The 26,547-nt window shown below is 43.4% G+C and overlaps 1 protein-coding gene and 1 pseudogene across 4 annotated transcripts in view, besides 1 other annotated feature; one reads left to right on the top strand and one right to left on the bottom strand.

Annotated features, from left to right (window-relative positions):
* ANK2 (ankyrin 2) overlaps positions 1-26,547 on the bottom strand; it is a 678,115-nt gene that overhangs the window by 593,917 nt on the left and 57,651 nt on the right. The gene's annotated exons all lie outside the window — the stretch shown is intronic.
* Positions 920-1,797, top strand: RPL7AP30 (ribosomal protein L7a pseudogene 30; annotated as a pseudogene).
* Positions 15,376-15,902: an enhancer, noted in NCBI's record as "H3K4me1 hESC enhancer chr4:113695074-113695600 (GRCh37/hg19 assembly coordinates)". NCBI's record gives its function as "activates a minimal SCP1, AML or CMV promoter by ChIP-STARR-seq in naive H9 embryonic stem cells {active_cell/tissue: H9 hESC(naive)}" and the evidence as "EXISTENCE:reporter gene assay evidence [ECO:0000049][PMID:30033119]".

Genomic DNA, 26,547 nt, shown 5'->3' with positions numbered 1-26,547 from the left:
TCAAGTCTTCCACCTTTTGTTTCATGTTCTTTCCCATCCCTTATTCTTCCTTCTTCTCTAGCAGCATACCTTCTCCCATTCCAACTACTGTGATCCCTAACACAGAGATCACTGGCACAGATTTACTAGAATATACAGGAACTTGAGGATATATACTACATATCCCTGAGGGAAATCACTGGCCATCTTTAAATCACTGATTTAAAGCCATCAATGGTCACTATTGTCCTTATATCTTCTCCTCCCCATAATAAACTCAATTCTAAGTTAATAAATATAAGTATGCTTATTTTTGTGCTCCTACAGCCTGTTAAAAAATTCTTTTTTTCCAAGGCCTTTCTCTACCTCCTTGGTCTCAAATCATAACTTTGGCCCTGGTAGCCATGTGACCTGCTGATTTAGATGGTGTCCTGTGCCCTCTTCGTCTAAGAATTTCTAACAAACTAGTCATCAGGTACCACTTTAGCTAAACCTTCATTTTGATCTTCCTATTCAGGATGCCTTTCTCCCAGCTACCTTTATTTCCAGTCTTCTAACACTTAAGGATTTTCTAGTAAGCTGAGAACCTCAGGCTTCAGCTCATCTAAGACTTGGGGATTTTTCCCTCAAATCCCTTTTGAGTCCTTTCTGAACTTTCCATTTTACCACAGTATAATAATTGTATAAGGGCACCCTCCATGCACAACAACTTCTTTATGAGAGTATTATTTTCTTGCAAATAAGTATACATTACATTTTCCTTAGAAGCAAATGTGATTTTTTTAAGATGGAGGAAGGCACCGAACCGTAATCTATTACATAGAATCCATGCCCTAAACACTTTGAGGGAAATAAAAATACATAAAATATGGTTCCTGCCCTCAGAGAGTTTATGCTGTATTTGAGATGATGAAGTATATAATATTAATAATTAAAAAAACTCTCTCCTCCCGCAGCCCAAGATGCTGAAAGGAAAGAAGGCCAAGGGAAAGAAGGTGGCTCCGGCCCCTGCTGTCGTGAAGAAGCAGGAGGCTAAGAAAGTGGTGAATCCCCTGTTTGAGGAAAGGCCTAAGAATTTTGGCATTGGACAGGACATCCAGCCCAAAAGAGACCTCACCCGCTTTGTGAAATGGCCCCGCTATATCAGGTTGCAGCAGCAGAGAGCCATCCTCTATAAGCGGCTGAAAGTGCCTCCTGCGATTAACCAGTTCACCCAGGCCCTGGACCGCCAAACAGCTACTCAGCTGCTTAAGCTGGCCCACAAGTACAGACCAGAGACAAAGCAAGAGAAGAAGGCTGTTGGCCCAGGCCGAGAAGAAAGCTGCTGGCAAAGGGGACGTCCCCACCAAGAGACCACCTGTCCTTTGAGCAGGAGTTAACACCGTCACCACCTTGGTGGAGAACAAGAAAGCTCAGCTGGTGGTGATTGCACCCGACGTGGATCCCATCGAGCTGGCTGTCTTCTTGCCTGCCCTATGTCGTAAAATGGTGGTCCCTTAGTGCATTATCAAGAGGAAGGCAAGACTGGGACGTCTCGTCCACAGGAAGACCTGCACCACTGTCGCCTTCACACAGGTGAACTCGGAAGACAAAGGCGCTTTGGCTAAGCTGGTGGAAGCTATCAGGACCAATTACAATGACAGATACGATGAGATCTGCCGTCACTGGGGTGGCAACATCCTGGGTCCTAAGTCTGTGGCTCGCATTGCCAAGCTCGAAAAGGCAAAGGCTAAAGAACTTGCCACTAAACTGGGTTAAATGTGCACTGTTGAGTTTTCTGTACATAAAAATAATTAAAATAATACAAATTTTCCTTCAAAGAAATACATTGGGTAATACATAATATGTGTCCTCTGTAATGACTCACTAATCATTAATGATCATATAATGATCATACATGGAGGATGTCAGGAGACTGCGGCATTTGAGACAGGCTTTGCCTAACCCCTTAAGATTTCAGCTAAGTTCAGAACATGTGTAAATTCATGGAGAACACTCTATGGTCAAAAAGGAGAGGTGCCAGCAAATGCAGGGAGGTGAGATGCTCCAGACATGGTCTGGATATGACAATCCCAGGGTCACACAGAAAGTGCCCCCCTTCCAACTGAACTGCCTACCCATGACAGTGGTGCTACTCATTCTTTACGCAGAAGTGGCCACTGATTGGAACAGAGTGGGCCTGACCCAAGGGCAGCTTCTCCACAGCCTGCGTCTTGACCCATGGAGTGGACTTACTCAAAGGACTTTTCCTACTGGGGCAATGGAAATTAGTCCAGACTATCTCCCTCCAGAATTTATAGTAGAGAATACAGAGAGAATTGATGAGAGGGAGAAAGGAAGAGAGCAACCCCCTAAGAAGACACCAGAAAACAAAGCCTGGGTCCTGGGTATTTATAATAAACCCCTTTATCTTAAAATTATCTGAGTGAATCTCTTCCTTGCAAACAAAAAAGCCTGATGTAACATATTTTAAGAACAAGTAATACACAAGTCTACCCTGAATAGAGGGTTTATCGAGGGGAGTAGCAGAAGGTAATTTTGAAACAGTTTGAGGTCTTTACATGTGAAGAACTTTGAAGGTCAACTATATATTTTTGTCTTTTTTATCTAATCTATGCTTGAACTTAGCCAAAAGGCTGACAAGTGATTTTTAATCTAATCTTACTTTAATTTTGCCATTGCATATTTAACAAAATTTAAACCAAAACAGTACCTATCAGATTAAATAGAAATAAATTAATTTGCAAGATATATATGTGACTTGAATAGCGGGAATAAAAATGTTTGATTTTGGCCAGGTGTGATGGCTCACACCTGTAATCCCAGCACTTTGGGAGACCAAGGTGGGCGGATCACTTGATGCCAGGAGTTGGAGACCAACCTGGCCAACATGGCGAATCCCCATCTCTACTAAATATACAAAAATTAGCCAGGCCTGGAGGTGCGTGTCTGTAATCCCAGCTACTCGGGAGGCTGAGACATGAGAATCACATGAACCTGGGAGGTGGAGGCTGCACTGAGCTGAGATCGTGCCACTGCACTCCAGCCTGTGCGACAAAGTGAGACTCCATCTCAAAAAAAAAAAAAAAAAAAAGTTTGATTTTACTCTTATTTGTCACAGATGACCAAAGGCATTAAAAATTCTGGTGGTGTCTGGGCATGGTGGCTCACACCTATAATCCCAACACTTCAGGAGGCTGAGGTGGGCAGGAGGTCAGGAGATTCAGACCATCCTGGCCAACACGGTGAAACTCCGTCTCTACTAAAAATACAAAAACTAGCTGGGTGTGGTGGTGCACACCTGTAATCCCAGCTACTTGGGAGGCTGAGGCAGGAGAATCACTTAAACCGGAAGGCAGAGGTTGCAGTGAGCCGAGATCACGCTACTGCACTCCAGCCTGGGCGACAAAGCAAGACTCCATCTCAGAAAAAAAAAAAAAAAAAAAATTCTGGTGGTTAGTTGATATAACAAGCTGATGCTTTCTAAATCTTTTCTTTTTTCACACACAAAATGATGGAGATCTATACCCACACCTCATATTGCCATATATTTTTACACACAGTGAAGGATGAATTTAGTTTTTTTTTTTTTTACTTTTTTTTTTCATCAAACCTGTCAGCAGGAAGTAGAAGGATGGATTTTGTAAACCGAAATGTTTTGGTCAACATTATAAAAAGTTTATAGGATATCTCAAAATAGGCTGTGCGTGGTGGCTCATGCCTGTAATCCCAGCAATTTAGGAGGCTGAGGTGGCCGGATCACTTGAGGCTAGGAGTTCAAGACTAGCCTGGCCAACGTGGCAAAACCCCGTCTCTACAAAAAAATACAAAAATTCACCAGGCATAGTGGCACGTGCCTGTAATCCCAGCTACTCTGGAGGCTGAGGCATGAGAATCACTGGAACCCAGCGGGCAGAGGCTGCAGTGAGCCAAGATCACACTGCTGCACTCCAGCCTGGGCAACAAAGCAAGAGACTGTCTCAAAAAAATAAAAACAAAAAGCAACACCAGGCTGGCATAGTGGTTCACACCTAATCCCAGCACTTTGTGGGGCTGAGACAGGAGGATTGCTGGAGCTCAGAAGTTCAAGGTTACGGTGAGCTATGATCGCGCCCACTACACTCCAGCCTGGGCAACAGAGCAAGATCCTGTCTCTTTAAAAAAACAAAAAGGCCAGGCGCAGTGGCTCACACTTGTAATCCAGCACTTTGGGAGGCCAAGGCGGGTGGATCACGAGGTCAGGTGTTCGAGACTAGCCTGACCAACATGGTGAAACCCCGTCTCTATTAAAAATACAGAAATTAGCTGGGTGTGGTGGTGGGCTTCTGTCACCCAGCTACTCGAGAGGCTGAGGCAGGAGAATCACTTGAACCCAGGAGGCAGCGGTTGCAGTCAGCCGAGATCATGCTACTGCACTCCAGCCTGGGTGACAGAGCAAGACTCCGTCTCAAAAAAAAAGGAAAAAAAGGAAAATAAATAAATAAATAAACAAAAAGAAAAAAAAGCCACTACTGCCAAGAGCTTCACCCATTCATTGAGGGTCATTGGAAGGGTTGTTAATAATCCAAACTGAGGCACACATATTAAGGATCAAGGGGAGGTAGCAAAAGAAGCACCAAGAGTAAGCAGTGAAAAAGGTTAAATATTCCCACCAACAACCCAGATGTACAAACTCTTCCATCATTTGCATTCACAGCCTGCAAGCTCACAGAACCTTCTAAATGGATTTTCTCTACAGCAAGCAGCTGTTTCACCAAAGCTGCATTAAAGTGACTTGCTATAATATATTATAATTTTAAAGACTCCCTCTGTTCCCATACTTCTGGTATTTTCCTCTTGTTTTATTTTATTGGCCACGGCATCAAACTGAGTAAACATTTTCCAGCTCAACCACAAAGTACTGTTGGCTTTGTCTATCAACACTTATAATCGCTCTTAAGAGGAAATATATTTTTCTGTAAGACCAAATGAGAATCTTTCATGAGAATTAGTGTGCACCACTTGGAAAATTTTCAGAAAGGATAAAATAAAATCCAATCAAATCTGTTCATAAAGCAAAATAAGATGATTTGCTCTGCATTTTTATCCATTAAATTAAAAGTGTAGGGCCAGAAATGGTGGCTCATGCCTCTAATCCCAGCACTTGGAGAGGCTAAGGTGGGCAGATTGCTTGTGCCCAAGAGTTTAAGACCAGCCCGGGCCGGACGGGGTGGCTCACGCTTGTAATCCCAGCACTTTGGGAGGCCGAGGCGGGCGGATCATGAGGTCAGGAGATCGAGACCATCCTGGCTAACATGGTGAAACCCCGTCTCTACTACAAATACAAAAAATTAGCCGGGAGTGGTGGCAGGCGCCGGTAGGAGGCTGAGGCAGGAGAATGGCGTGAACCTGGGAGGCGGAGCTTGCAGTGAGCCGAGATCGCGCCACTGCACTCCGGCCTGGGCGACAGAGCTAGACTCTGTCTGAAAAAAAAAAAAAAAAAAAAAAAAATCAGTCAGGGTGGTGGCACGTGCCTGTAGTCCCAATTTCTTGGAAGGCTGAGGTGGGAGGATCGATTAAGGCTGGGAGATCGAGGCTGTGGTGAGCCATGATCGCACCACTGTACTGCAAGCGAGACCTGGTCTCAAAAAAAAAAGCATATTAACTGCCATTGTTTATAGGAGTTTATGCTTTTAACATACTCATTTAAGTATGCCATATGTATTTGTAGAAGCATTGCTTATCACAAGAAAATACTGGAAACAACCAAAATGTCCATCAGTAGGTAGAGTTTACTCATACCATGAATGGATACTAAGCAGGTAGTTTAGCTTTAGTTCATGTATTTTCACTATTGTATAGTATGCCAGAGTATGAGTATACCACAATACGTTTTAAAAATATATCAACATAAGCCAGGCGCGGTGGCTCACGCCTGTAATCCCAACACTTTGGGAGGCTGAGGTGGTCGGATCACGAGGTCAGGAGATCGAGACCATCCTGGCTAACATGGTGAAACCCCGTCTCTACTAAAAATACAAAAAATTAGCTGGACGTGGTGGCGGGTGTCTGTAGTCCCAGCTATTCGGGAGGCTGAGGCAGGAGAATGGCATGAACCCAGGAGGCAGAGCTTGCAGTGAGCCGATCGCGCCACTGCATTCCAACCTGGGTGACAGAGCGAGACTCTGTCTCAATAAATAAATAAATAAATAAATAAATAAATAAATAAATAATATATCAACATAAATAGATTTCATAACATAAGTTGAAGACAAAAAGCAAATCGCCAAAATGCCAATAGTATGCTATCAAGAAATGTAAAAACATGAGGAACAATTATATTTATTGTTAGGTATACATTCATGTGAAGTACAAGTTCAAAGAAATGCATGGGAATGATGAGAGTTGTTACCTGGAGAATTAATGGAGGATACACTTGGAAAGAGATATTGGGTTAAACCACATGACACTGCCAATGTTTATGCATTTATGACATAGAAAAACACCAATCTCATGTTCCAGCCCAACATATAAGTAGTGTTCCATTATGTTAAATAGGTTTTATTTCTTAAGCTAAGAGGTGAATACACATGTGTTCACATGAATGCGTGTGGCTCCACAAACTAACCCTGTGACCCTAGAAAAGCTATTTAGGCCAGGCGAGGTGGCTCACGCCTATAATCCCGGCACTTTGGGAGGCCAATGCGGGGGGAATCACGAGGTCAGGAGCTCGAGACCAGCCTGGCCAACATAGTGAAACCTCATCTCTACTAAAAATACAAAAATTAGCCAGGCATGGTGGCGCACGCCTGTAGTCCCAGCTACTCGGGAGGCTGAAGCAAGAGAATCACTTGAACTTGGGAGGTGGAGGTTGTGGTGAGGTGAGATCGAGACACTGCACTCCAGCCTGGGCAACAGAGTGAGACTCCGTCTCAAAAAGAAAAAAGAAAAGAAAAGCTATTTATTCTGGTTTTTTGTTTTTTGTTTTTTTTGAGATGGAGTCTCACTCTTGTCACCCAGGCTGGAGTGCAGTGGTGCAATCTCAGCTCACTGCAACCTCCACCTCCCAGATTCAAGAGATCCTCCTGCCTCAGCCTCCTGAGTAGCTGGGATTACAGGCACCTGCCACCATGCCCAGCTAATTTTTGTATTTTTGGTAGAGACAGGGGGTTTCACCATGTTGGCCAGACTGATCTCAAACTCCTGACCTCAGGTGATCCACCCATCTCGGCCTCCCAAAGTGCTGCAATTACAGGCGTGAGCCACCGAGCCCAGCCTTTAATCTGGTTTCTTCACCTGTAGCATGGGGATAAAAATAATATATATCTCACAGGGGTATACTAAGGATCAAATAAGTTAATATATGTAAAGGACTTAAAGAGTGCCTGGCACATAGGTAAGCACTATTTGATTCCATTACTATTGTTTGTATAGCTGTTTGTATAGTTGGAAAATATTTTATGAAAATATGTTTCAATTTCTTATGGAAAAAGGTAAATAGAAACAAAAGTAAAGAGAATAGTATAATGAGATATAAACAAAAGTAGAGAGAATAGTATAATGACTCAAATCATTTTGCCTTCACAATTAGCAAATCATGGCCAGCGTTTCACTTCTATTCCCATCCCCTTTCCAGAAACACATATGAGATTATTTTGAAAAAAATCCTAGATTTTATCAGTAAGCATTTCAATATATATCTTAAAATATAAAGACTTCTAAAAACTTAACCCAGGCTGGGCGCGGTGGCTCACGCCTGTAATTCCAGCACTTTGGGAGGCCGAGACTGGCGGATCACGAGGTCAGGAGTTCGAGACTAGCCTGGCCAATATGGTGAAACCCTGTCTCTACTAAAAATACAAAAACTAGCCGGGCATGGTGGTATGCAACTGTTGTCCCAGCTACTCGGGAGGCAGAGGCAGGAGAACCACTTGAACCCTGGAGGTAGAGGTTGCAGTGAGCCAATATCACGCCACTGCACTCCAGCCTGGGCAACAGAGTGAGACTCTGTCTCAAAAAAAAAAAAAAAAAAAATACTGTTATCACACTTTAAAAATTAACAATTTCTTAATATTATCAAAAATAGTCACTGTTAAAATTCGTTGCTTGTGTCATAAATACTTATAAGTAAACTTTATGTTGCAATATTTATAAGTAGACAGCTTGATGAATTTTTATAAAATGAACATACTTATGTAATAAGCACCTGTAAAAAAAATAGAGTCTGTGTGTTTTTTATGATTTTTAAAAATCAGGATGCAAATAAGGCCATGCTTTACAATTGATTGACAATCTCTTTCATAGTATTAATAATTAATATTAAAATAATGAAGAATATGAGCTTATTTCTGTTTTTTAGACAATTTGTTTTTTTTCTTTCTGAAAGAATATATAAAACACGATTAGTTACCATTGACAGTGGAAATGGAAGTCAGAAATTCAATAAGGAAAGTTTACTTTTCAGCTGGGTGTGGTGGCTCATGCCTGTAATCCCAGGACTTTGGGAGGCCAAGGTAGGCAGATCACCTGAGGTCTGGAGTTCACGAGCAGCCTGGCCAACATGGTGAAACCCCGTCTCTACTAAAAATACAAAAATTAGCTAGGCGTGGTGGCAGGCAGAGATCCCTTGAGCCTAGGAGTTTGAGAGTTTGAGACCAGCCTAGGCAACATGGTGAAACCCCTTCCCTACAAAAAATTATCCAGGCGTGGTGATGTGCACCTGCAGTCCCAGCTACTTGGTAGGCTGAGGCACAATAATCACTTGAGCACAGGAGGTGGAGGCTGCGGTGAGCTGTGATCACACCACTGCACTCCAGCCTGAGTGATGAGAGTAAGACCTTGTCTCAAAAAAATAATAACTTTTTTTAAGAAAGAAAATACTATCAAAAATTAAAAATGGGTTCAACTTATGGTCATTAAAGTATAACAAATAGTTATATAATTTATATGGTTATGCTTTGTGTCCTCACCCAAATCTTATCTTGAATTGTAATCCTGATAATCCCCACATGTCAAGGGAGAGACAGTGGGAGATGATTGGATCATGGGGGCAGTGTCCCTCATGCTGTTCTCATGATAGTGACTGAGTTCTCACGAGATCAGATGGTTTTATGCATGTCTAACAGTTCCTCCTTCACACACTTGCTCTCTCTCCCCTTCCGCCATGATTGTAAGTTTCCTGATGCCTCCCCAGCCATTTGGAACTGAGTCAATTAAATCTCTTTCCTTTATAAATTACCCAGTCTCGGTAGTATCTTCATAGCTGTGTAAGAACAGCCTAATCCAATAATTATATGCTATTGTTCTACATATGAATCATATTATACATTAAATTAATATTATACTATACAGAGTTACCTATATTCTACAGCTAACTCAACATATATTAGAATTCACTTGTTTCTTTCATAATTATAATTGTTTTCTACCATAATCACTGTGTCTTTGTTACTTAGGTTTCCAGCCCTTGGTCTAATTGAAACAAAAGCGTCTTACTGGTGTGCCAGCAATAGAATTTAAAAATCTTTAGACTGCAATATTGTAGTTTTGCAGACCTTAATGGCATTGCCCTTGACTGGAGATGCACAAGCAAATTCATTTCCTGTCAGCCTTGCTGAGGATAATGGGCTTTCCCAGTGCTGCAGAGTTTTCACTGACTTCTTTTTTTTTTTTTTTGAGACAGAGTCTCACTGTGTCACCCAGGCTAGAGTGCAGTGGCGCAATCTTAGCACCGCAACTCAGCCCCCCAAGTAACTGGGACTACAAGCGTGCACCACCAGCCTGGCTAATTTTTGTATTTTTAGTAGAGACAGGGTTTCACCATGTTTCCCAAGCTGGTCTTGAACTCCTGACTTCAGATGATCCGCCCACCTCGGCCTCCCAAAGTGCTAGGATTACAGGTGTGAACCACCACACCTGGCTCACTGGCTTCTATTGACAGTGCAGTGGAAGGGGCTCTGAGCACAATGCCATCTTCTGGCAGAGTTCCTGGAAAAAGGAAATAATGATGCCCTGCAAGAAACCCCTTGTTTCTGGAAACCAGAATGTCAGGCTCTATCATAAAGGTTTCATTTTCCTCCTACTTTAGGATATGTTCAGGTGAAGGCAAGAAGACAACTGAACAATCCTGAAATTAAAATGTGTGTGAATGCGTCCATAAAACATTTAGAGTACTCCACATTCCAGAACTTTGAGGAAAGTGCTAAATCCAGTGATAATATCTGAGGAGTCCTCTCATACATTTGTATAATTGAGATCATTGTGTAAGTAAATAAGAAGAAAATGAGAAATCTATGTACTTCTTTGTCAATAAAAATAAAATGGCCTTTTTTTTTCTTTTTTTAGAGACCGAGTCCCGCTCTGTCGCCCAGGCTGGAGTGCAGTGGCGCAATCTTGGCTCACCACGAGCTCCGTCTCCCGGGTTCACGCCATTATCCTGCCTCAGCCTCCCAAGTAACTGGGACTACAGGCGCCCATCACCACGCCCGGCTAATTTTTTCTATTTTTCAGTAGAGACGGGGTTTCACCGTGTTAGCCACGATGGTCTCGATCTCCTGACCTTGTGATCTGCCCGCCTCAGCCTCCCAAAGTGCTGGGATTACAGGCGTGAGCCACCGCACCCGGCCAAAGTGGCTTTTTTTTAAAAAGCAGAATTATCCAGAAAATTACTTATCCCACATATATATTATAGGATGTACATTAAAAAATATACCAGGACTTCACCAAGAGAGGTGGCTCGGCACTCCCAGAAAACAGCACTAACAAATAAGGGTTGCAGGATCGCTCAAACTGAATGATGACATATTTAAAAGTTGCTTTTGCACCAACCTAATAGTAAACTTGCACAGGGACAAACTTCAATTCCTGACAACTTTGGTACAAATTAGATTTCCCTGGAGGTCCAATGTGATGTGAAGAATAGGTAGTTTAAGCTAGCTCAGCACGTCAGAAATCAGTGGAAAGCACTAGTACTGCCTATAAATGATGATGTTGAGAAGTCAGAAGTTATTACACATTCGATTTCCCCCAGACAAAAAAATTCAACAAACAAAGTAGTTGCAGCCAATGGTGTACTGGGTGGTTATCTAACAGCCACTCCCACATTCCACATTCCCCTAAACACAAACACGAATAATCTAGGTAACAATCCTATTGCAGGCTGGCGCCCCTTGTCAGCGATTGGTTCGAATTGACACCATTATTACAAGGGGTAAGCAAGTCACAGATATCAACCTACCTGCTTCAGAGCAGCGAGAAATGACAAACTCTTTAAGGAGAAGGACTGTGCATTCTTCTATCCCAGTCTCCCCAACCCTTAGCTACACATGGATTTCATTGTATCCTCCACAGATGTTTGTTCAAATGATAGTTAATTAGAAGTCATATTTCAGGGCCAGCTGCGGTGGTTCATGCCTGTAATCCCAGCATTTTGGGAGGCCGAGGCAGGGGGATTACTTGAGGTTGGGGGTTCAAGACCAGCCTGGCCAACTTGGTGAAACCCCATCTCTACTAAAAATACAAAAATTGGCCAGGCGTGGTGGTGGGCTCCCATAATCTCAGCTACTTCAAACCCAGCATAAAAATACTGGGATTGGCCAGGTGTGGTGGCTCACACCTGTAATCCCAGCACTTTGGGAGGCTGAGGCAGGCGGATCACTTGAGGTCAGGAGTTCAAGACCAGCCTGGTCAACATGGCAAAACCCCGTCTCTACTAAAAATACAAAAATTAGCCAGACGTGGTCACGTGCACCTGTAATCCCAGCTCCTCGGAAGGCCGAGGCAGAAGAATCGCTTGAACCCAGGAGGCAGAGGTTGCAGTGAGCCGAGATCGCGCCATTGCACTCCAGCCTGCATGACAAGAGCAAAACTCCGTCTCAAAAAAAAAAAGAAAGAAAGAAACCTAAATCTTCATGGTGATTACTTCTCAAATATAAGATTATAGATGAGCCGGGCGCGGTGGCTCAAGCCTGTAATCCCAGCACTTTGGGAGGCCGAGGCGGGCGGATCACCTGAGGTCAGAAATTCAAGACCAGCCTGGCCAACATGGTGAAACCCCATCTCTATTAAAAATACAAAAATTAGCCGGGTGTGGTGACACATGCCTGTAATTACAGCTACTCGGGAGGCTGAGGCAGGAGAATCGGTTGAACCTGGGAGGTGGAGGTTGCAGTGAGCCGAGATCGTGCCACTGCACTCCAGCCTGGGTGACAGAGCGAGACTCTGTCTCAAAAAAAAAAAAAAAAAGATTATAGATGTATTTTTTTAAAACTACTTTGAATATTTTTCAGTATCTTTATTAGCAGGGCTTTTTAAAAATTTACATGCCAGGCGCTGTGGCTCACGCCTGTAATCCCAGCACTTTGGGAGGCCGAGGCGGGCGGATCACGAGGTCAGGAGATCAAGACGATCCTGGCCAACACGGTGAAACCCTGTCTCTACTAAAACAAATACAAAAAATTAGCTGGACGTGGTGGCAGGTGTCTGTAGTCCCAGCTATTCAGGAGGCTGAGGCAGGAGAATGGCGTGAATCCAGGAGGCGGAGCTTGCAGTGAGCTGAGATCCTGCCACTGCACTCCAGCCTGAGCGACAGAGCAAGACTCTGTCTCAAAAAATAAATAAATAAATAAATAAAAATTTACTTGGTGAGCCAGTTCCTGCTGTGTGATTTTGCACATGTAAGCCTTACATACGTATATTGCCCATCAGCTGTAGCTCACCCTTCCAAACAAAACTGTGTATGGAAACAATTTAACTAAATTAAGAAGAATATATTATGCCAACATTCACTGAGTTATTTGTGTAACTCATATTATTTTTATTTTTCTCAGAGTTTGAAAAATTAAAATCCTTTCAATTTTTAGAAACAACTAATAGGAGATCTCAGGATATAAATTTGGTTTGACTTTTTTGTTTCAGGGATGAGTAAAAGCTGCTCAGTTAATAGAGAGGGTTGTGTGAAATGGGTGACTCTCAACCGAAAGCCATTCAGGGATGAAACAGAGTGAGAGGGATTCCTAGAAAGACCAAATATATGGGATTCACAGCATTCTCTCTTTCCCTAGTTTTCTTATGAAACTTCCTGTGTCCCTGATAGATGCCTACTTAATATGCAAATACATGTGCATAATGTACATATTTAATGTGCAACTATTTTTATTACAATGTGATGAAAACTCTAAGACAAATCTGTAAGTATTGAAGAGTAGTGGAATATGCCACCCCAAAATATGCCAATTTGGCACAAGGGTTATTTTGAGCTAAAGACACTTAAAAAACAGCAAGTACAAGAAAGGTTCTGACCTTTCCTTTTTCTTCCTAAAAACAGGAAATAAAATTCCCATATGGAAGATGTGCTCCCTACTCCAGAAGGAAAGTAACATTTTTACCAGAGAGATGGGGAGTTAAGGCTGAGAAAAATCTGTACAAACCTTGTCAAGCTCACTCTTCCCTTCCTAGTTACTTTTCCACCATGAATTGTCCTAGCTCAAGCCTTTTTGTCTTGTCACATTTTCAGAATTTACTGCTCTTTGTCCAATTCAGTAAATAAGCATTTGACTCTGCTTCTTTTAGTATTCACTTCTATACGAGAATTCTCATGTCATGTAAAGCTTATATTAAATAAATTTGTATGTTTTTCTCTTGCTAATCTTTTGTTACAGGGGCCCCAGCTGGGAACTTAGGAGGGTAGAAGGGAAAGGATGTTTTTCTTCCCTTACAGTATCCCTCACTACTTCCTCTTCCTTCACTTCCTTCTTAACCAGAACACTCCCCCAAATCCTACCCTTAGTTCTCTTCTCTCACTACACGTTCCCTAGGCTGGCGCTTCTCAGAACGTAGTAGTTAGACCAATGGCATCAGCACCACCCGGGAACTTGTTAGAGCTGCAAATTATTGAGCCCTAACCAGACTGAATCAGAAACTCCAAGGGTGGCTGGGCTGCAACATGTTTTAACAAGCCCTCCAGGAGATTCTTACACATGCGAAAGTGTGGAAAACCACAGCCTTCATGCAGTCCCATCCGCCTCCAAGACGTCAGTCCTTATAGACCTACAACTACTCAAACCTATATACCTGGCTCTGACCAATTTTGTGAGCTTCAGACCTAATTTCTCATGTCCGCTAGGTTGGTCTCCCTATATGAATACTCCCAGTGTAACTCAAACTTAAAGTGATATACTTCCATCTTCCTACAAAAGCCGTGAGCAACCTCTACCCTACAACCTGCCCATTTTCCTACCTTCCCTTCTCAGTTAACGATACCCAACACTCACCTGGTCTATTAGCCTAGAAATCTTAAAATCTTAGAATTTTTTTTCTTGTGTGTGTGTGTGTGTGTGTGTGTGTGTGATGGAGCTTAGCTCTGTCACCCAGGCTGGAGTGCGGCGGCCCAATCTCGGCTCACTGCAACCTCCACCTCCTGGGTTCAAGCTATTCTCCTGTCTCAGCCTCCCAAGTATCTGGGATTACAGGCACGTGCCACCACACCCAGCTAATTTTTGTATTTTTAGTAGAGGCAGGGTTTCACCATGTTGGCCAGGCTGGTCTCGAACTTCCGACCTCAAGTAATCCACCTGCCTCGGCCTCCAAAAGTGCTGGGATTACAGGCATAAGCCACCGCCTTTGGTGAAATCTTAGGAATTATCCATTTTAATTGTCTTTCTCTCTTACCAGCCCCTCTGGTCACCAAGTTCTGATTCTACCTTAGGCACATCTCTTTATGCCCTACTCTCTTTTTTCTTTCACTGTCTATACTGCAGATTATCAGTAACTGGCCTCTCCACCTCCAGCTGGTCCAAACACAAAAGCATCCATCACACTCCTGCTGTACAAAACCCACGAGAAGAGGGGAAACTGGTGGAGAGACTGTGTTGAATATCAGTACAAATTTCAGTTGAGTCTTTAAAAATTATTCTCCAGCGGCCTGATTCTCTGTGAACCTGTTGCCCACAAGTATTATTTTTCAAAGCATCAGTCTTGTCCCGTTAAATCTCTTCTCAAAAACGTTCAAAATTTCCCATTGTCTATAAACAGTTCCAAATCTTTAATGGGACAATAAGTTTTTAAGCCCCTGCCTCCTGCTTAAATGATGTGGTGGTCTCACACTTTGACTCACACTATTCCTTGGACTGGACTTGGCCTCCCGTTTCCACCCCTCTTTCTTTACCATTTCACTTGTTATCCTTTAAAGACAATTCAAATGCTGCCTGCCCACCAGAACTCATGAATTGGTCCTCTTTCTGCTGCCCATGGCAATGTCTTAAACCTCTATGAGAGCTTCATTTCTTCCAGGCTTACAGGAGTTAGTTAGTCAGTTCGTTAGTTAGCTATTTATTTTTGAGACGGAGTCTCGCTCTGTCGCCCAGACTGGAGGTGCCGTGGCGCGATCTCGGCTCACTGCAAGCTCTGCCACGCGGGTTCACGCCATTCTCCTGCCTCAGCCTCCCGAGTAGCTGGGACTACAGACACCTGCCACTACACCTGCCTAATGTTTTCTATTTTTAGTAGAGACAGGGTTTCACCGTGTTAGCCAGGATGGTCTCGATCTCCTGACCTCGTGATCCACCCACCTTGGACTCCCAAAGTGCTAGGATTACAGGCGTGAGCCACCGTGCCCAGCGGTAGTTAGTTATTTATATCTTACAATACATGGATAGAAGATCCTTCCTTAAGGGCGTGACCAGGGCTGCAATTCATTTTTGTCTCTTACACCACTTACCACAGTAAAGATTTCCGGCTGGGCGCGGTGGCTCAAGCCTGTAATCCCAGCACTTTGGGAGGGCTCAAGCCTGTAATCCTAGTACTTTGGGAGGCCAAGGCAGGCAGATCACGAGATCAGGAGTTCAAGACCAGTCTGTCCAACATAGTCAAACCCCATCTCTACTAAAAATACAAAAATTAGCTGGGCATGGTGGCTGGCACCTGTAGTCCCAGCTACTTGGGAGTCTGAGGCAGGAGAATCACTTGAACCTGGGAGGCGGAGGTTGCAGTAAGCCGAGATCTTGCCACTGCACTCCAGCCTAGGCGATACAGCAAGACTCAGTATCAAAAAAATAAATTAATTAAAATAAAATAAAATAAAATAAAATTTACTTAGGTGGATAAAGATTTACTGGATGGATACTGATGGAATGGAAATACATATTGTATCTGTTACCACATAAAGGCTGGGCTAATGAAGCCTAACTGTCTTGGCACAAGTTGAATGCATGAATGTGTCTCTCTATTTCCTCAGAGCAGCAACTCTCAAATCTGACTAATCATGATAATTAATGGGGGAGATTTTCCCCAAAAAAGTGGATTCCCAAATGTTACCTAGGTAAAAACACAGAAAAGTAGTAATAATCTTTTAGGAAAGAGTCTAAGGGTAGGTGGGAAGAGAGAAGTTTTTACTTTTTACTTTGTTTTGTATCTTCAATGCTATGTGAATTTTCCAAACCCATGCGTGTTTTTGGCTTTTTTATGTCAACATGGGTTATCCAGATAAAGGAAACATGGGCCAATTTTGTGTTCTTGTTTATATTTTTCTGTGTTTTTTAAACTAATAATAAGACAGGGTCTCACTCCGTCATCCAGGCTGGAGTTCAGCAGCACGATCACGGCTCACCACAGCCCCAACTTCCCGAGCTCAGGTGATCCTCCCACCTCAGCCACCTCAGTAGCTGGGACTATAGGCATCCACCACCACACCTGGCTAATTTTTGCATTTTTTTAGAGATGGGGTTTTGCCATGTTGCCCAGGCTGGTCTTGAACCCCAGGGCTCAAGTGATCTGCCCACCTCGACCTCCCAAAGTTTTGGGATTTCGGGTATGAGCCACCGCATCCAACCACACTTTAAAAATTAATAAAACTAAATTAAAATACAGATTCTAAGCTCTCATTCTGGAGGTTCTCAGTTGGTACATATGCAATAGGAATCTGTATGTCTTTTCAAAGCTTCCACATAATTCTTGTACAGCCTCAGAACACACGCTCCCCAGTACCGTCACCTCCTACCCTTAAGTGGAGGTGAAAGGATGGAGCACCTCATTAATTTACAAATGTAGCAGAAGAAGAAAGCAACTGCACCAACAGCTAATAAGATGGACTTGAAGGCATAACCTGCTTACAAAACCCATCCTGCTGAGGGTACCAAAGGGACTCAACAGCAAGGGCCTCAACACTCCCCTCTTGAACACACACTTCTTCTCCTAGGTAATGCTATACTAGTTAATGAGGCTATTTGCCTTTAGTACCTTCTTTTCCCTTCAGACTATTTCTTGATATTCATTTAAGTCAGATTTCAGGAGGGTAATCCAGGTGTGGGTTTTTTTTCACATGTGTCCCAGGTGAGTCTCCAGTAAGGAATGGCTGAGTTGGGGCTCACAGGGTTCAGGATATGCTACTCCAAAATAAGGCACTGATATGATTTGGCTGTGTTCCCACTCAAATCTCATCTTGAGTTGTAGTTCCCATAGTTCCCACGTGTTGTGAGAGGGACCTGGTGGAAGATAATTGAATCATGAGGGCGGTTTCTCCCATACTGTTCTCATAGTAGTAAATAAGTCTCACGAGATCTGATGGTTTTATAAAGGGAAACTTATTTCACTTGGTCCTCATTCTCTCTTGTCTGCCACCATGTAAGACACACTTTTTGCCTTCCACCATGATTGTGAGGCCTTCCCAGCCATGAGGAACTGTGATGTGAGTCCATTAAACTTCTTTTTCTTTATAAATTACCCAGTCTCGGGTATGTCTTTATCAGCAGCGTGAAAATGGACTAATATAGACACCTTGGCACATTGAATACCTGAGGCTGAAGGACTCTGAGAAGCAGCATATGCGAGAAGGATTTTCTGACCTTCTCCTGAAGCAGCTCCAAGAGCCCCATCTGAAAGATGCCCACTCTGTACCCAGAGGAAAGGGGCTTCCTTATCTCTGAAGACACAGGACACCAAGAGGAATCTGAACAAACAAGCCTTGTTAAGTTTCCCCAGTTTAGGCCAGGTGCGGTGGCTCACCCCTGTAATCTCAGCACTTTGGGAGGCCAAGGCGGGTGGATCACGAGGTCAGGAGATCGAGACCATCCTGGCTAACGCAGTGAAACTCTGTCTCTACTAAAAATACAAAAAATGAGCCGGGCACGGTGGCGGGCACCTGTAGTCCCAGCTACTCAGGAGGCTGAGGCAAGAGAATGGCGTGAACTCGGGAGGCGGAGCTTGCAGTGAGCTGAGATCACGCCACTGCACTCCGGCCTGGGCGAAAGAGTGAGACTCTGTCTCAAAAAAAAAAAAAGTTTCCCCAGCTTATTCCCATTAGATCATGCCCTTTTGTCCTCCTATTATATTTCTCCATGACCTCCACACCTCATCAAGCTCAGCATAAAAACATTCAGTTCTAATTATTTCTTTTGGTCTTCATTTCCTTATGAACGCTTCCTGTCACAAAAACTTATACTAAATAAATGTGGCCGGGTGTGGTGGCTCACGCCTGTAATCCCAGCACTTTAGGAGGCTGAGGCAGGCAGATCACCTGAGATCGGGGGTTCGAGACCAGCCTGACTAACATGGAGAAACCCCATCTCTACTAAAAATACAAAACAAAAATTAGCCAAGCGTGGTGGCGCATGCCTGTAATCCCAGCTACTAGGGAGTCTGAGGCAGCAGATTCGCTTGAACCCGGGAGGCGAAGGTCGTGGTAAGCCAAGATCGCACCATTGCACTACAGCCTGGGCAACAAGAGTGAAACTCCATCGTGAAAAAAAAATAATAAATAAATAAACGTGTATGCTTTTCTTTTGTTAATCTTTCTTTTGTTACAGGGGCCCCAGCCACAAACTCAAAATGGAAGAAGGAAGAGATTTTTTTCTGCCCCACAGTGCTCCCTGCATTGTCACTACTTCCTGGCAGAATCCCCTGTTCTTCACACCCAAGGTCGAGTTATGGAGGTCTTTGCTATGCTGAGGAGTTAGGACTGTATTCATAAATAAGGTAGTTTTCAAACTGCAGTCGCAAGACTATCAGCATCAGTGTATCACTATGGGGCGGGAAAGTAAGAAATGAAGTTCTTGGCCCCCACCCTCAGTCTACCTAATCATAAAATCTAGGGATGGCCCTCAGAAATCTGTTTTAATGAGCCTGCCAGATGATTATAATGCACTTTTTTTTTTTTTTTGAGAGAGAGAGAGAGTCTTGCTCTGTCACCCAGGCTGGAGTACAATAGCACAATCTCAGTTCACTGCAACCTCTGCCTCCCAAGTTCAAGCGATTCTCTTGCTTCAGCCTCCCAAGTAGCTGGGATTACAGGCACATGCCTCTATGCTCTGATAATTTTTGTATTTTTAGTAGAGACAGGATTTCACCATGTTGGCCAGGCTGGTCTTGAACTCCTGACATCAGGTGATCCACCCTCATCGGCCTCCCAAAGTGCTGGGATTAGAGGCAGGTGCCACCACACTCAGCCTAATGCACATAAATCTGATAACCACTAATGAAATGTAAAGGTAGTGAATGGTGATTTAAAACAAAACAATGAAGGGAAGGCACAGTGGCTCACGCCTGTCCACATTCCCTGGAGCTCCTCACTGTGGCACACCCTGGGAGGGCTTAAACATCTCCGGAGTTGTGGGTCAGGGCTGCCTGAGAAGGGAGAGACCAACTGATGAGGATCTGCAGGGCTCATACAGAAACTAAACCAGTTTTATTGTGATTCGATGTAGAACTTGATAAGGGGAGAGAAGAGAACCCACGAGTGCAAAGGCTATTGTACTAATCCAGGAGAGCTGTATTAGTCAGGGCTCTCCAGATAAACAGAACCAGTGGGACAGGATACATATAAAGAGAAAGAGGAAGAAATTGAGTAAGAAATAATTAGATCGTGTGATTATGAAGGCTGAGAAGCCCCACTATCTGCCATCTGCAAGCTAGAGAGCCAGGAAAGCCAGTGGTATAAATTCCAGTCCAAGCCCAAAGGCCTGAGAACCAGGGGTGCCACTGGGGTAAATCCCAACTTAAGGGCAGAAGACAACTGATGTCCCGGCTCAATCAGGCAGTAGGCAGGAAGCAAAAAGGAAGAAATTCCTCCTTCCTCTGCCTTTTTCCAATCTCAGGATGGATTGGATGATACCTACCCACACTGGGGAGGGCCATCTACTGTACTTAATCCACCAATTTAAGTGCCAATCTCATCCAGAAACTCCCTCACAAACTCAGAAACGATGTTTAACCTGGGCACTCCTTGGCCCAGTCCAGTTGAAGCATAGAATTAACTATCACAAGAGTGATGGTTAAATTCTTCGGAATTATGCAGCATTGATGGGCACTGATGGAAAGGAATGATTCTATTTCTGAGGAAGAATGAAGAAGACATGACCAACTTCATAAAAAGTAAGAAAAACAGAGAAACCAAGGTTGACTCCAAGTCTAACTTCGGTAAGTACAGTAGACCGATTGCATTAATGGCCTCAATTAAATGGGTTCCAGTATGTATACCCTTTAACCTATTATATAATTCTATTTAGTCTTCCCCGACTCTGACTCTGTGCTGGGCAATGTGGTATGTTTTGGCCAGTGTGACACTGGCAAACTTGAAGAAAGCAGCAACTTGAAAAAGTTCTTGAGTCTTTCCAATCTCTTTTAGTTTTCTATGATCACCATGAGCATATTCCACAAGATTGCTTGAAAAAATGCCCAGGCTAGCCTGCTGGAGGGACATGACAAACATATGCATGTACGAGACATATGAAGAAGAAACCAGTTATCCAACCAAGTTCAACTTAACCCAGTCTATAGCCAGCTGTCCCCTAACATGTGAAAGCCCAGTCACGTTCAGCGGAGCCATGTAACCTCATAATGCATAAGTGAAACCAGCTGTCAGTCATAATAAATGATTATTATTATTTTAAGCCAATGAACTTTGGGGGTGATTTGTTAGGCAGTATTATTGTAGCAATAGATAACTGAAATAATAAGAACCCAAATGGTTCTCTTTTGATATACTTTTTGAACAAAGGCAGGTCATGTACATAAAGAAAGATTAGCTCAGGTCCAAACCTTTTGAGATAATTACAAGACAGCTGGGTATAAATATCCATAAGTCAGATGGAAATGTAAGTCTGGAATTCAAATAAAATTTTTGGCTGGCAACATAAATTTGAGTCATCAGCATAAACTGATCTCTGAGAACACAAAGAATGAGTTTTTTGTTTGTTTGTTTGTTTGTTTTGTCAAGAGCAAAACAAGGAACTTTGGGAAACACCATTTAAAGAGTAAGTAGAAAAACAGGTATTCTCTCCTGCTACAGGAGAAAATAAAATTACAACATATAATGAAAAAGCCGGGTGCGGTGGCTCATGCCTGTAGTCCTACCATTTTGGGAGGCCTCGGTGGGCGGATTGCTTGAGCCCAGAAGTGTGAGATCAGCCTGGGCAACATGGTGAAACTCCATCGCTACAAAAAATACAAAAATTAACTGGGCATGGTGGCATGAGCCTGTAGTCCCAGCTACTTGGGAGGCTGAGATGGGAAGATCTCTTGAGCCCAGGAGACAGAGGTTGTAGTGAGCCAAGATAGTGCCACTGCACTCCAGCCTGGGTGACAGAGTGAGACCTTATCTCAAAAAAATGAAAAAGACAATTCCAAGAAAGAAAGCATGAACAATAGTACCAAATGCTTCTGAGTTCAGTTGGGATGAGGACTGAAATGTATTTGACTATTGATTATGGAGTAATATCAATGTAAACATAAAGGACAATATATAAAGTGAAACACCCCCTCATGCCCACATGACCTTTCCTGTTAAACAACAGCCACTCAACAAATCTTGCATATCAACTTCGTCTTCCTATATTTCTTCTTCTTTTCCCTCTCCCTGTCTCCTTCTCCCTTTGTTTTCTCCTTCACCTGCCTTTCTAGCCATACTCTCTTCTTCCTCTGATTTTTTCCAGTAAAAGGCAGAGGGAGGTATTTCAGACTTGGGAGAGGATGAGAGAGATGGGAAAAGGTATCTCTGTAACAAGAATATTTGATTGCCTGAATCAGAAATCCCAGCCTTTTTGAGGCAATTAAGTCCTTTTTAAGTTAAAAAATGAGTTTCTCTTGGTATCTGCTAAATAACAGTGGCCAAAAATACTATTAATAGACATTTAATTTTTAACAACAGCAGCTACATACTCATAACATATATTCAGAGAGATAACATTGTCTATAAATATTATTTCCTGCTGCCCATTCACTTTCCCCATAGGCAAAGCCTAGCGGGCCTAGGGTACTGTCTGCACCATGTTTTATTATTTATTTATTTATTTATTTATTTATTTATTGAGACAGGGTCTCGCTCTGACACCCAGTGCCAGGCTGGAGTGCAGTGACACAATCTCAGCTCACTGCAACCTTGATCTCCTGCATTCAAGCGATTCTCCTGCTTCAGCCTCCCGAGTAGCTGGGACTACAGACACATGCCACCACACCCGGCTAATGTTTGTATTTTTAGTAGAGACGGGGTTTCACCATGTTGCCCAGGCTGGTCTCGAACTCCTGACCTCAAGTGATTTGCCCACCTCAGCCTCCCAAAGTTCTAGGATTACAAGCGTGAGCCACCGCGACTGGCAGAACATACTGTCTGCCCCTCATTTTAGAAGTCAGATTAAATTTAGCATTTTGATACATACTATCTTGAATTGCTCTGCAATTATTTTACTAGGAATTTGATAACAAAAGTAGGCCTTAAGAAATACCTGTGGAATTTAATTAAAGGATTCAGTTTTGTTTGGAATATCCCTTAGTTTCTAGTTTTGTGGTAAGAAAGAGATGATGCTTTACATCATAAGATATTCAAAATATATGAGCAATACTGTAAAATTACATTAAAATTACATTGCATAATTATACTTTTAAAATCTGTGCCTAGCACAGGTGACAGTGACTGAATGGATACTTTTGTGATATTTTGTAGAGTGATGGTTTGTACAGTGGAAATGTGTGTGGTTTGTTTCCTGCTCAGCATCCATTCCCTCTTCTGATAAAGGCATCTGGATCAGGTGGGCTAACTCAATTCCTGTCTTGGGTGAGGGAAAAGACACAATCCAGCCTGACCCACCAATGTACCCCATCTCATCAGGGCACAATGATTGGTTTAGAGACGCACAGATGTTGCAAATAACTCCGGTAAGATTAAAGTATGGGTTTAAACTGTTGAGTAAAGAGAATTATCTTTTCTGCTGGGCTTGAGGGTAGAGGGATATAAGCCTTGAGCTGCTGGGCGCCACCTTGAGGAGAAAGCCTTTCAGAAAGTGAAGTCAATACCCAGAGTAGAAAGTCAAAAAATTAAAGGAGATTAAGTATAGATAATACCACTTGACCCTCAGGATCCAGCAATTTCTGAAGGCAGATACCCCTGGACTTTTCAATTACATAATCCAGTATAAGCTGAATTTTTCTCACTTGTAATTAAAGGATTTCTAACAAAATAGTTAACTTTTGTGAATTTTTTTTTCTGGCAAAATAGTCTGCTTTACAAAAGTCAAATTTCAAAATGCATTCATTTATGCAACAAATTTTTTTTTTTTTTGAGACAGAGTCTTGCTCTGTGGCCAGGCTGGAGTGCAGTGGTGCGATCTCGGCTCACTGCAACCTCCGCCTCCCAGGTTCAAGCCTCAGCCTCCCAAGTAGCTGGGACTACAGGCGTGCACCACCACGCCCGGCTAATTTTTGTATTTTTAATAGAGATGGGGTTTCACCATATTGGCCAGGCTGGTCTCGAACTCCTGACCTCGGATCTGCCCACCTCAGCCTCCCAAAGTGCTGGAATTACAGGCATGAACCACTGTGCCCAGCTGCAACAAATATTTATTAAGCATCTACTACGTGCTGGTGTATCACATTGTGTCAGTCATGCTGAGAGTAAGTTAACTAGGATCGACTACATAGTGTTCCCAACCTAGGCACTATTAGCATTTTAGGTAAGATAATTCTTAGTTGTTGAGGATGATTCCAAGTGTGGCCTCTGGTCAATATATGCCAGTACAGCCCCCAGTCACTGTCACTGTGACAAACGAAAAATGTCACAAATTTTCAGAAGTTCCTCTAGGTGGCAGTACTATGCTGATGTAGAACAGTGAAGTTGGGGGAAAGACAGACCCTGACAACACAGAGTTAGGAATTTTAGAGCTCTCAGACATATACTATCTAAAAGACATGTCAGAAGTCCTGAACGGAAAAAAAAAAAAAAGCGGGGGAGGGGGGAGTTGTTCCAGAACACAGTGGTATGTAGTATTATAAGGTAAAAGGCAAGCAAGGGTTTTAATGAACTTAGAAGAGCTAAGTGAGTAGAAAGAAATCTTATAAAATATCACATGATTAAGGACAAACAAACAGAATGCTTGAGGCCACCTATAGCCAGAAGTGAGCTAAAACAAGCTAACAGTGAAATAGAGCTTTGATCCTACAAATTCAAAAGGGGACGTTCTGCAGGCAATTGGTTCTCCCTCTCAACAAGGCAAGGTCAAGGAAAGGTCATAAAAAAAGGGATGAGGAAGAGAACTGTTCAGATTAAAGAGGCCTAAGCAAACAACCAAAAGCAATGTGTGGACTTTACTTATATCCTGATTTGAACAATTTAGCTGTAAAGACATTCTAGGGACAATTGCGGATGTTTAAACACAGACTAGATCTTAGATGATATTAAGAAATTGTCACTTTTCTTTGATGTAGTTACATAGAAAAATGTTCATGTTTTTTGAGAGGTATATTCAGCATGAACAATTATGTCAAGCTGCTTAATATCTCAGTACCTCAATTTCATCAGTAGAGATAACAATTACTTCATACATTGTTGAGAAGATTGAGTTAATATTTATAAAGTGCTTAAAAGAATACCTAGCATTGCCGGGCACGGTGGCTCACGCCTGTAATCCCAGCACTTTGGGAGGCCAAGGTGGGTGGATCACCTGAGGTCAGGAGTTCAAGACCAGCCTGACCAACATGGAGAAACTCCGTCTCTACTAAAAATACAAAATTAGCCAGGGTGGTGGCACATGCCTGTAATCCCAGCTACTCGGGAGGCTGAGGCAGGAGAATCGCTTGAACCCCGGAGGTGGAGGTTGTGGTGAGCTGAGATCGTACCATTGCACTCCAGCCTGGGCAAAAAGAATGAAACTCCGTCTCAAAAAAAAAAAAAAAAAGATAACTTTTCAAGGAGACCAGTTACAAAATACAAAGGAAAGGCAATAAATAATACAAAGAAATTGGACCAGGTACGGTGGCTCACACCTGTAATCCCAGCACTTTGGGAGGCCGAGGCCGAGGTGGGTAGATCACCTGAGGTCAGAAGTTCAAGACCAGCCTGGTCAACATGGTGAAACCCCATCTCTACTAAATATACAAAAATTAGCCAGGCTTGGTGGCGGGCACCTATAATCCCAGCTACTTGGGAGGCTGAGGCAGGAGAATCATTTGAACCCAGGAGGCAGAGGTTGCAATGAGCCGAGATCGGGCCATTGCGTTCCAGCCTGGACAACAAGAACGAAACTTCTTCTCAAAAAAAAAATACAGAGAGCATCAGAACAGAAAGATAGATTAGCGAATAGAAAAGAGATCAATGGGACGAAAAAATGGTGGAAGGAAAAATAATCATGAAAGCCAGAGGGGGCCGGGCGCAGTGGCTCATGCCTATAATCTCAACACTTTAGGAGGCCGATGCAGGCGGATCACAAGGTCAGGAGTTCAAGACCAGCCTGGCCAAGATGGTGAAACCCCGTCTCTACTAAAAATACAAAAAAATTAGCCTGGCATGGTGGCGGGCCCCTGCAATCCCAGCTACTAAGGAGGCTGAGGCAGAGAATTGCTTGAACCAGGGAGGCGGAGGTTGCAGTGAGCCAAGATGGCACCACTGCACTCCAGCCTGGACGACAGAGCCAGACTCCCTCTCAAAACAAAAAGCCAGAAAGAACATATGTGGGAATTATGTTAAACTTTAAGTGTGAGAGAGATGTGAGTGAGAGATCCAAGGAGAGATATAGGACAACCAGGAGGTACCATTCCCCAAATAAGCCAATGAAAATGCTACATATGGTCGGGCACGGTAGCTCACGCCTGTAATCCCAGCACTTTGGGAGGCCGAGGCGGGCGGATCACGAGGTCAGGAGATCAAGACCACAGTGAAACCCCGTCTCTACTAAAAATACAAAAAAATTAGTCGGGCCCCGTGGCGGGCGCCTGTAGTCCCAGCTACTACAGAGGTTGAGGCAGGAGAATGGCTGAACCCGGGAGGTGGAGCTTGCAGTGAGCCGAGATCGCCCCACTGCACTCCAGCCTGGGCAACAGAGCGAGACTCCGACTAGGGGAAAAGAAAAAAAAAAGGCCAGGCGCTGTGGCTCACGCTTATAATCCCAGCACTTTGGGAGGCCGAGGCAGGCAGATCACGAGGTCAGGAGATCGAGACCATCCTGGCTAACACGGTGAAACCCCGTATCTACTAAAAGAAATACAAAAAAATTATCCGGCCGTGGTGGCGGGCACCTGTAGTCCCAGCTACTCTGGAGGCTGAGGCAGGAGAATGGCGTAAACCCGGGAGACGGAGCTTGCAGTGAGCGGAGATCGCCCACTGCACTCCAGCCT

The sequence above is a fragment of the Homo sapiens genome, chromosome 4, assembly GCF_000001405.40.
Source record: "Homo sapiens chromosome 4, GRCh38.p14 Primary Assembly".
NCBI lineage: Eukaryota > Metazoa > Chordata > Mammalia > Primates > Hominidae > Homo > Homo sapiens.
The sequence above is the reverse complement of the archived record's forward strand: the minus strand, read 5'-3'. Positions and strand labels throughout refer to the sequence as shown.